Raw genomic sequence first — 12410 nt, forward strand, 5'->3', positions numbered from 1 at the left:
TATTATATATATTATGTCATATATAATTATATATATATATTTTTTTGGGTGCCCTATTTCCCATCTCATAACTTATTTTAAGAAGCCAGCATAATAATGTGTGGGCTTGGGATTCAGTTTTTGAAACAAAACACTGAGCCTTTGATGACCTTCCTGTAGTTGTAAAAGCCCTCACCTGTCTGCATGGCAGCAGTTGGACCTCACAGTGTGGATTGTGCCTTCACCCTGGAATGTTTATGCCCTATCGCCATGGTGATGGGATTAGGGATCTCCTGCCCTTGGTCCTAAGTGCCACTATCTGTGCTGAGTTTTTCAAACGTCAGAGCAGATTGAACCATTGTGGTTTCATTTTCCCTGATTTTGATTTTTCTTATGGGGAACCTGTGTGGCTGCATTCAAGGTATGTTCTTACTGGCCTGTCAAATGCGATCTTTTCAAATTACTAGTTAATACTTTCAAAATATATTATTTAAAAAATTAGCCTCTGTATTTTCCATATGCAGTTATAAATATGTTTCATGATTATGTTTTATTCCTCAATTTATATATTTGATTATTGTACCAAGCAGAGTATCTTTGAAATTTTTCTTCATTTAAAAAATATGTGTCTTGACTCAGGCCTGTAATCCCAGCACTTTGGGAGCCCAAGGCAAGAGGATCACAAGGTGAGGAGATCAAGACCATCCTGGCCAATACAGTGAAACCCTGTCTCTACTACAAATAGAAAAAATTAGCCAGGCATGGTGGCAGCTGGTGTAGTCCCAGTGTGAATTGGGATTCAGTTTATTCCCAAATTCCCAAATTTTATATATATATATATATAAAATATATTAAATATATTATATATATACTATATATTATATTATATATAATTATATATATATATATTTTTGGGTGCCCTATTTCCCATCTCATAACTTATTTTAAGAAGCCAGCATAATAATGTGTGGGCTTGGGATTCAGTTTTTGAAACAAAACACTGAGCCTTTGATGACCTTCCTGTAGTTGTAAAAGCCCACCTGTCTGCATGGCAGCAGTTGGACCTCACAGTGTGGATTGTGCCTTCACCCTGGAATGTTTATGCCCTATCACCATGGTGATGGGATTAGGGATCTCCTGCCCTTGGTCCTACGTGCCACTATCTGTGCTGAGTTTTTCAAAGGTCAGAGCAGATTGAACCATTGTGGTTTCATTTTCCCTGATTTTGATTTTTCTTATGGGGAACCTGTGTGGCTGCATTCAAGGTATGTTCATACTGGCCTGTCAAATGCGATCTTTTCAAATTACTAGTTAATGCTTTCAAAATATGTTATTTAAAAAATTAGCCTCTGTATTTTCCATATGCAGTTATAAATATGTTTCATGATTATGTTTTATTCCTCAATTTATATATTTGATTACTGTACCAAGCAGAGTATCTTTGAAATTTTTCTTCATTTAAAAAATATGTATCTTGACTCAGGCCTGTAATCCCAGCACTTTGGGAGGCCAAGGCAAGAGGATCACAAGGTGAGGAGATCAAGACCATCCTGGCGAATACAGTGAAACCCTGTCTCTACTACAAATACAATCAATTAGCCAGGCATGGTGGCAGCTGGTGTAGTCCCAGTGTGAATTGGGAGTCCGTTTATTCCCAAATTCCCAAATTTTATATATATATATATATAATATATATAATATATAATATATTATATATATTTTATATAATATATAATATATATAACATATATATTATATATAATATATACATTATATGTAATATATTATATATATTTTATATTATATATAAAATATATATACTATATATAATATATATAGTATATATAATATATATTATATATAATATATATAGTATATATAATATATATTATATATAATATATATAGTATATATAATATATATTATATATAATATGTATAATATTATATATTATATATATTATATATATTATATATTATATATTATGTATATAATATATATTATTTATATATTATATATAATATATAATATATAATATATAATATATAATTATATATTATATATATTATATATTATATAATATATAATAAATAATATATATTATATATATAATATATATGATATATAATTATATATTATATATTATATAATATATAATATATAATAAATAATTATATATCATATATATAATATATATAATATATATAAATAATATATATTATATACATAATATAATTATCATATATTATATATATGTCATATATAATATATGTCATAATATAATATATGTCATAATATATATAATATAATATATGTCATAATATATATATAATTTCCTTTTACATCCTGCATCCTTCAACCTGCATCCTTCAACGTTCCATCCCCCACCCCACAGATTAAGTTATTCCCCTGGGGAGAATATGGCGAAGTCTATTTTAATGCTGTTTTTAACCCAATTAAGAACCTATGAAATCATTACTTTCCAAAACTTTGGAACAAAGCCACAGTAGTAAGGATCCGTTGGAGGCTTTTCACACAATAAAATGTAACTCTCTTTGTTTTTAACATGTTTTTCCCTTCCTCTCTTCTTTTTTTGTGAAATGTGTATTTACTTTAATATATTTGTAGTAAGTCACTTCCATGCACATATTAATTTTTTAAAGTAATAAGCATGTGTATTGTCTACGTGTGAAAGAAAACACACATTTATTTTTATGCTTTGGAAGTTATCCAGAATCATGGAATTGTCAATCACAGTCAATCACCCAACCTACTCACCTTTCCAGTGTAATCTTAGTCAAATTTTTTTTTTTGTTATCCAATGAGATGCAGTATTTCAACTCAGAAAGATAAATAGAGTGAATTTATAGAGACTATTAACTAAGAACATACAGTTTGATTTATACTCAGAAGCAAGTAGATTATGTACATATATATGAAGATAAAAATTAAAAGGATAATTGTGTAAATTTGCATGTAGAGGGCTTTGAAAACCTGTTTACTTGTGAATGCTGTTTTGATGTATTGTGTCTTTGTTCTCCCGACCCATCATCCAGAGCTCTCTGCAGGAGCTAAGTGCTCATCAGTTCCATGACTTGGAAACTGTCTAAGTTTAGAGGCACTTGTATTTGTTAGTAAATAAGGCAAGATGATATTGTTTCACAGGTTTTAGTGCCGAAGACTGAATAGATAAGCTGCTCCACCCAGTACACTGGTGTTCATTTCATGGTCATCTCATCTGTTAACCATGGATATAAAACATTTATCTTCAATGATGGGGTTTTACCATGTTGGTCAGGCTGGTCTCGAACTCCTGACCTCAAATGATCCACCCACCTCCACCTTCCAAACTGCTGGGATTACAGGTGTGAGCCACTATGCCTGACTGATTATTTTCATAACCAAGAAAAGAAATAAATACAATTAATGCTGGTGCATGGTATTAAATCTAGTTTTTAAAAAATTCACACATAAACAGGGCAGAACCCTATACCCTCCATGATAAATGCAGTAGCAGTGTATGTGGGTCTGTGGAGGTTGAAAGGGACTTGGTCGATGTCAAGAAGGTAGTGGCAGTCCTGCTGGGCTTTTAAAGGGTCTGAAGAAGTGACAGGATGCTGTGGTTGAATCGTAGCATGTGTTTTAGCATTTGTTCATTTGGAGTTGATTATTTCACGTTGCTTTCATTTGCCATTACCTGGAAAGCCAAGGGCTCTACTCTCATTTCCTTGCTGCTCTTTCTTTGCCTTCCTTGGTCCGTGAAGAAGATGGTCCAGGAGAAGCTCATTCCATGCTTGTTAACCAGGCACGCCCCTAAGTTCCAGTCCCTGAGTCATTCATGAGTAGCACTGCCAATGAACTGACAGCCATGCTGTGTCCCTCCACATCCCCTAGGTGACTCGAAGAAGCCTTCCAAAAAGCGTGTGAAAAGGAAGCCCTACTCTACCACCAAGGTAAAGTAGCCTGTCTTTGCCTAAGATGTAAATGTTGTTTTCTTGGATCCTTTATTTTTCAGTTGATATCAGCTATGGGAAAATTCTCCACTACATTATAGGTGTTAGATAATATTTCCTTGGGGATGGAGGAGGTGTATTTTACCAACTGACACCTGATTCCAGAGGACGTGCAAAATTGGCAGTGTCAGATAGTACACTGGGTGTTAAGGGATGTTTTCTTCAGGAACAAGCTTTCCACTTTAGATAAGAATTCTGCAATTGCTACTCAAAAATTACCTAGACAGAAACATTCTTCAACAAAAGCTCCTGTGCTTTCCTAAGGCAACTCTACTCTAGAGTTGGGGCTTTTGACTTGAACCTTATTTCCAGTCTTGGTTACCCAGAGTTTCCAAGTGAACAAAAGACCTGTGTGAGCCATCCATAGCATAGCCTGATTCTCAGAGTGTTTTCCTTCTCTAATTACAGGTGACTTCAGGGAGCACATTCAATGGTACGTATTCTGGAATCACTCACTGGTTGTTAGAAAAGGATTCTACAGGAAATCTGGAGCTTAACTGCTGGCTTTTGTCTGGAGAGCCTCCATGATCCAAGACATCTGGTGGGAATGAGGATGTAGGGTATAGTAAAAGAAACTGGTTTTCCTGGTGACATACTCTTTTTATCTATGTATAGTTTCTGGGAACATGTTCACATTAGGTTGTGTGTGGGTATGTGTGTATTAGGGCGGGGGTGGGGTGAGGTGGTCTGTGTGCAAGTCTGCATGATTTGCTTGTGAATGTGTGTCTATGTGTGTTTCCCCTAGGAAAAAAATGTTGTGTTTACCCAGCACAACTCTCAGTGCCATGTTTCTTAATTTAACAAATCAGACCACATACTTTACTTACATTAGTTCACACCTCATCATCATCATGCCCATATGTTGTGAGCTTGTTTATTGAGCCCACATGCCAGATGGAGAAACTAAGCCACATAAATAAATGTGCCCTGGTTCACTTGCTGCATAGTGAAGAGTCAAAATGTTTCCTCATACGGTGCTAATGTTGAAGGCCTGAACTACAACCACTATTTATCAGCCAGTGAAGAGATCACTATTCACCATGCAAGGGAGTTCCAGCACCCTCTATGCCTGGAATTACCCACGCCTGCAGAGATCCCAAACGCCATCCCTCACATAAGACAGCCTCATGATCTCATAATCCAGGTAGCTATGTAGACATCTTCCTGCAGGTGTCACATAGTCCTTAGTGTGAAACCAACATAGAAAGCCCATGTTTCTGATCAAATCACAGGTTCTGAAACACTAAGGGAGGCACTAAGTAGGACAATGTGGTGCCTGCGTGTCATAGCTGGGTCTCCTCAAGACATGGATCAAGTCCAGTAAGAATTGGGGAGATGCTTTAGAGTCTTGATGGAGTTATCACCACAAGCCCTCTGAGCTACACACTTTAGGGATCATGACCATTAAGTACTCAAATTACCATTTGGTTGTTATCCGGGTATCCGTCGTCCTTGTGGCAACCCTCTTGTGAAGCTGGTGTGGACAGCCTCAGTGCTGGAGCTGTGCCTGCCTTCTGAGTGGACCCTTTCTGTGTTAGCAGGTGGGTACAAGCGTGGGGGTCAGCACACTCAGTGGATTTACACACACAGCGTTGAAGAGTAAGGCTGGGCTTCATTATTTATACATTTTCAATAAATGATGATCTTCATAACATAAAATCAATGATGTAGTACACTAGAATACTGTCCCTAGTATTGAATCTTGTCTCTCAGCAAAGGGTTGCTTAAAGTCACGTGACAGATTCCATTCAACTGATGACACATGCTGTAGCAGCAGTTAAAGCAGTCATTTGAAAAGGCTTTTACTATAAACTTACGTGTGAGCCTGAAGTGGGGGATAAAAGAGGCGATTAGCTCCCCTGTGCCATGTTTCTCTTATGTGCGTGGTGGAGGAAAATTACACAGGAAGGTGATGGAGAGAACAGAGCAAAGGATTGGACAGGTCCATTGAACCCATAAGACTATGGTGAGGTTAGTGAATGAGACTGGTCATTTTAGGTCAAATTTTACCCAGAGCTGGTGCAGCCACTGCCCATTCTTAGCCAGACCTTATTGCAGGCAGCTCTGATCAATAGTCAAGGAGGCAGTGGGGGTTGCAGACTTAATTCATTAAATCACCAAAGCACCAGCCCACACGGCCACTTTTCCAGTTAATTCACAGTAGCTTGCATATTCAGGTTTGATCAGTGGAAGGGAAGTTACTCTTTGCAGACCCATCTTTTGACAATCATTTTGCAGTGTCGGAAGGTCTGAGCAGCCTCGGGAGGCAAGCAGTCCCTGGTCCCTCAGTGTAGTCACTGGAGGAGACAGTCACTGAGAGGCAGCTGGCAGGGTGAAGGGAAAGGGGAGGCAGGCCACAGAGATGACAGCCTTTAAGCTGTCATACTGGGAGGTCAAGGATCTGAAAGAGGAAGGAGAATTCTTTATCATTAAGGACCTGTCCTTATCTCAGGCATTTCCTCCAGAGCATCACCTTTGTCCACCCACACACCTTGGGCTAGGAGGACTGGAGAAAAACAGTGAGGGGTCTCTTGGGTCTCTGGCACAGGGCGTGATGAAGAGGTGGCAGTTTTTCAGGAATCTCTCTCTCTAGGGAACCAAATACATTTCCCATCTCAGGTCCTTCACTCAGCGGGGTTGAGGTTCTGCTCGTCACTTATCATCTCTGAATGTCAGCACCCTCAAGTGTAAAATCTCAGTCACAGCCCCTCCTCTGCACCCCCTGCAGGGCTGATGTTCTCCATAAACCATAAGGCATCATGCCCACGGAAAAGCCGAACAGGAAAGCATGCTCCACTGCCCCGGAGCCATCCAAGTTCCCCCTCCATATTCCGCCACTGCTGAGTGTCCAGCTTATTCCTCCTGGCCTGTAGTAAACACTTAGAGAACATTACTGAAGTACCAGTCCTCTCTAAGGTTTTCCTGTATTTAGTGATTTTTTAGCCCTGTACTGTGATACTAAGAAGTAGGGCCTAAATAGGGCCTAAAAAGTATTGCTAAAATTACATTATGACAGTGCAGAGAACTGAGGGCAGAGGGAGGACATGAGCTTGCCAGGTCCACATGGCTTAGTGGAATTTGAATCCGGGCCCCTACTCTGCACCAGCCCTGCACTCACAGTCATCCTGCTGTATTCTCCTCTCCAGGAAGGCACTGCCCACGCAGTCTGTCTGATAGAGGTGTTGAGTGCTCACTGAACTCCGTGATCTTCCTGAAACCCAACTTTGATTCAGTGGGCTCTGCTTGGAAGCCTGTAAAGAAAAGGATCATAAGTTTAAACTTAGAACAGATTATCACTATTTTCCCTCTGGTCCTCTGTCAGCAAGATGTCAACAGCCCTATCTATTGTAAATGCATTAACCAGCATCTTCTCTGATAGAGAATATAAGAAGATATGCTGTGCACACCAACCAGTGTAGGAGACCTCATGGCTCCCGGGTAAAGAAGAAGAGGTACCCACAAGAAGGTACTGTGGAAGTTCATTAATTAAGTTGATTCAAGAATTGCAGTTGCGGGGAGTATTCAGTGTCCCATATGTAAGAGGAAACTATGAAGAGACTAAGCCATATTTTTTAATGTGTCAGGATTCTAATTTGCCTGGTCAGTAAATATTGCTACCACCACAAAAGTAAATATCTACTTAAAAGTCAATTTTGGTTCATGTTTAATGATAGACAATGTTTCAAGCTAATGTCTAGAACTTACCTGGTTGTTAAACATAAGCATAGATCTCCCTGAAAGAGTGGTGCTATATTATTATTTTTCAATTAATATATTTCTTTAGAGAGTTTTAAATTGACATAAAAACTGAGCATATGGCCGTGTGTGGTGGCTCACACTTATAATCCCAGCACTTTAGGAGGCCAAGGCAGGCGGATCATCTGAGGTCAGGAGTTGGAGACCAGCCTGGCCAACATGGTGAAACCCCATCTCTACTAAAAATCCAAAAAAATTAGCCGGGTGTGGTGGCAGGCGCCTGTAATCCCAGCTACTCAGGAGGCTGAGGCAGGAGAATCGCTTGAACCCGGGAGGCAGAGGTTGCAGTGAGCCAAGATCATGCCATTGCACTCCAGCCTGGGTGACAAGAGTGAAACTCCATCTCAAAATAAATAAATAAATAAATAAATAAATAAATAAATAAATAAAAATTGAGTATATAATACACGAAGTTCCCATATTATTCTGTCTCCTCACCCTCACTTCCTAATTTCACCTATTAGTAACATCTTACATTACTGTGGTACATTTGCTAGAATAATGAGAAAATATTGACACATTATTATCTGAAGTCTGCATTTGCATAATGTTCATTCTTTCTGTTATACATATATATGAATTTTGAAATATTTAAAACATTATGTTCACCCTTATGGTCTCATAAAGAAAATGTTCACTTCCCTAAAAATCCTCTCTTCTCATTAATCTCTGTCCTCTTTCTCCAGAAACCTTGGCAACTATTAATATTTTTACTATCGCTTCAGCTTTGCCTTTTCCAGAATGTCATATAGTTGGAATCATATATTATGTAGTTTTTTCAGATGAATTTATTGCACTAAATTGATGTACGCTTTAGCTGCTTTCATGTCTTTTTTATGCCTTAATGGCAAAAAATGGCACATTAAATCACCAAATAATATTGCATTAAATGAATTTTTGTCTTTTTATTCACCTGTTGAAGAATTCGGTAGATTTCATGAGAGAAACCATCTGGGCCTGGTGCTTTCTTTTTCGGAATGCTCTTAATGTGAATTCAACTTATTTAATAGACATAAGTTTATTCAAATTAGGATCCTAGCATGACCTTGGGAAGATTGCCTTTCAAGGAATTGATACATTTCACTGAGGTTATCAAACTGCGCTCATAGAACTGTTCATGATATTCCTTTTAATGCCTAACAGTTCAGTAGAGATGGCTCCTCTTTTATTTCTGAAATTGGTCATTTGTGTTATCTTCTTTTTCTTGGTTAGCCTGCATATCAATTCATTCATTGTAATGAGCATATCAAAGAACCAGCTTTTGGTTTTATTGATTTTCTGATGATTTCAGTGTTTTAATTTTATTGATTTCTGTGATGTTGTTTATTACTTTTACTTGCTTTCCATTGCATTCCTCTATTTTCTATAGTTCCCTAATTGAAACATGATATTACTGATTTTAGGTCTTGTGATTTTTAGTATATTGCATCCAATGCTATAGATTTCCCTCTAAGGACTGCTTTTGCTACATCCAGAAATCTTGCCAAGTCACATTTTCTTTTAATGTAGTTAAAAGTACTTTTAATTTTCTATTGAGACTTCTTCTTTAACCCAACAGTTATTTAAAAGTGCATTGCTAATTTGCAAATATTTGGGGATTTTGTGGCTCTTTTACAGTTGTTGATTTTTTGTTGTCAGGTGTGTGTTGCAAAAGCAGTCGTCTACCTCATCTTGCCACCACCCAAGATGGCCCAGGATGTGGGCTCTCCCTGAGTGAATCTTTGGCAATCTGCCAACCTGATGTGTTCGGCCTCCTTCTTTAGTCTGAGCTTGCCTTCTGCTTAGAAAGGGCCATTCTCAGTTCTGGCAGGGAGTTTTCCCAACATTGAGAAGGTGGCATTCTTACTCCCCACTGCAGCCTGCACCTCTGACCGGTGGTCAGCAGACAGGACAGAGGTCCTCATTAGACAGAGTTCAGCAGGGTCTCTGACCAAAGTGCATCTTCAGAGTCTGCACCTACCCACTGTGACCACGGGCAGGCTCTGAGTCCTAAAGCAGGAGGAACTGTGCGACCATCCTGATTGGAAATTTGTGAGGATCACCGTGTTACTCAAGTAAGGTCTTTGGAAAGTGTCGTATTACTACTGTTTGTGAACTGCTTGTTGGTGGCCTGGCTGAGCCACACACTTTATGAAAACCAGGACCCCTCAGCTGGTGTGGGTGTCTATGCAGCCTGAGACCCTCATGTGAACAGCCTCGTGGCAGCTGTCTTTGCCCCTTGCCACCATCAGTGCCTCCTTGTTCCTGGGCACTGCTTTCTCTGATGGTGCTCCATTGTTTTCCTGCACCTCAGTGTCTACAGCTGGATGTCTCTTCCGCAATCTAGGCGAGGGGGCATCAATGGCAGTTCTGCTGTGGCACTGCCCTCCTTCTTAGCTTGTCTTGCTCTGTCTTAGGCTCCCTCAAAGATCCCACCCTTCAGGTTCTTCCACAAGTTTCTTATTGAAATCCGAGCAGAAAACTATGACCAATATGACCAATCCTATACCCACTGAAGACATGAATGAAGAATTAAAACAATTCTCCATGGACTCTACCATATAGATCCCTAGAAGTAATTTCTAAAAAAAAAAAAAAATCAAGGAAGATGTAATAGTTTTCCATAAATTAGAATACCCTACATGTACAATTAAATGAAATGGCTAGTATAGTCTTGAAACCAAAACCAGATAAGGTAAATTAAATTCTGTGATATTTTAAAATACTGTAAATTCTGACTAATGTGAGTTAATCTCAATATATGAAATAGTAGATTAACATTGAAAATGCAATAAATAAAATTAGCTACCTCAAGAGTTTAATGGAAAAAAATGTGATTATTGCAATAGATTCAGGAAATTCATGAATAACATTCACCCTATATTTGTAGGACAACTATCTAACTTTAAGTGACCTGTGACAACCATTTGAATTAATGCTGCTTTCACAGCATATCTCTTGGCTTGTTAAAAACCCGACAAGAATTTCCGTAACATTAATTTATTTTTAACACCTATATTGGGTGTGAACCCACCATAAAGTTTGCCCACTGAAAAGGTCTACAATTTGATGCTTTATTAAATTGATACTGTGTGCACCCATCACCACGATCTAATTTAAATATGTTTCCCTCACCCAAGTTCTCTCTTGCGCACTGGCAGTTAATCCCCACTCCCATCTCCAGCCCTAAGCAATACTGCTGTGACATTCCATCTCCATAAATTTCCCATTTGCTTAATAGAAATGGACATATATATATATTTGGAATCTGACTTCCTTCATTTAGCATACTATGTTTGAAGTTAATTGACGTGTTAGCACGTGCTGGTCATGTGTTTTCCTTCATAGTCTGCTGTGTTTACTCATACAGATAGTGTTTATTCATTTATCAGTTAATGGACATTTAATTGTTTTGTTATTTTCTTTGATGAGTAATGTAGCTTTGAGCATTCATATACAGTCATGTAATGCATAATGACATTTTGGTCAAAAAAATTTTTTTTTTTCTGAGACCCAGGCTGGAGTGCAGTGGCACAATCTCGGCTCACTGGAACCTCCACCTCCCAGGTTTAAGCAATTCTCGTGCCTCAACCTCCCGAGTAGCTGGGACAACTGGCACACGCCACCATGCCTGGATAATTTTTGTATTTTCAGGAGAGACAGGATTTTGCTGTGTTGGTCAGGCTAGTCTCAAACTCCTAGCCTCAGGTGATCCACCCATCTCTGCCTCCCAAAGTGCTGGGATTATAGGCATGAGCCACCACACCCAGCCTAATTTTTTTAAGAAAGAAGGGAACTATTTTCTAAATTACTTTTGCCAATTTATATTTCTACCATGATGCATAGCACTAATTTCACCGTACAATGTATGGTAGGCCCCAATATGTAAGAAATGATGAAAGTAACACATAAAGATTGGTATAAAACAAATAAGATTATCATTGTTGCTATCATCTTTGTCAAATTCTGAAAACAATCTGAGTATATTTTTATATAAATATGCTTGGCAACATAGCTGAAAAACGCATTATCAGTTACATTTATCAGTAACAAAGACATAAATTTGAAGGGGGAAAAACACTTGTACTAACAACGCAATGTCAGAATTAACATAAAAATTCTGCTGGTCACTTTGGAATATTTAATTGCCTGGGGCAGTGTTTAGTAGACAAATGAGCATCTATGGAGCACCCAAAGTAGGGGAATCAACAGAACTTGGGTTTCAAAAGTTATCTGGGTTTAGAGCGTGAAACTTTGTTAGAGGACACACACCTTGCATGAGCGAGGTGCCTTGGTGTGTGTGGACGTACCATTATGCTTGGAGGTACAGCATAATGGTGGCTTCCTCCAGAAAGGGACATTTGGGGTGGATTCATTCCATCTAGACAACACAGCCTGATGTGGCATGGACATGAATGGAGGTGAAATGGTCAGTAGTTGAGAGGATCAGTCCTGACAAGGGCCGAGGTGAAAAACCTGGGAACCCCTTCAGGTGCAAAGTCTTCAGTTGAAAAAGGAGGTGGTCACAGGAAATACTGAGACAGGACAGCAAAGCATGGGAGACAGAGTTCTTGGCCCTGCAGGGTGAGTACTGTGGATTCTCAAATTTTCTCCTCTCTCCATTAATTTCTTTCCCAATGCAGATGACTTCCATCATACAGTCTTCAGCAATCTTGAAAGATT

The 12410-nt window shown here is 38.5% G+C and overlaps 1 long non-coding RNA gene across 2 annotated transcripts in view; it reads left to right on the plus strand.

The window, feature by feature from the left end:
• The first annotated feature begins 280 nt into the window (after positions 1-280).
• The window catches only part of FAM230A (family with sequence similarity 230 member A), a 79211-nt gene continuing 67081 nt past the window's right edge, over positions 281-12410 (plus strand). Inside the window, exons 1-4 of one of the 2 annotated variants that reach the window (NR_165629.1) lie at positions 281-400; positions 3874-3932; positions 4401-4425; positions 7372-7458. This is a non-coding gene — a long non-coding RNA (family with sequence similarity 230 member A). Of the gene's footprint in view, positions 401-1140; positions 1245-3873; positions 3933-4400; positions 4426-7371; positions 7459-12410 lie in introns of those variants that run through there. The other variant, NR_136560.2, reaches the window with a different exon arrangement.

Source organism: Homo sapiens, chromosome 22 (genome assembly GCF_000001405.40).
Source record: "Homo sapiens chromosome 22, GRCh38.p14 Primary Assembly".
Lineage (NCBI taxonomy): Eukaryota > Metazoa > Chordata > Mammalia > Primates > Hominidae > Homo > Homo sapiens.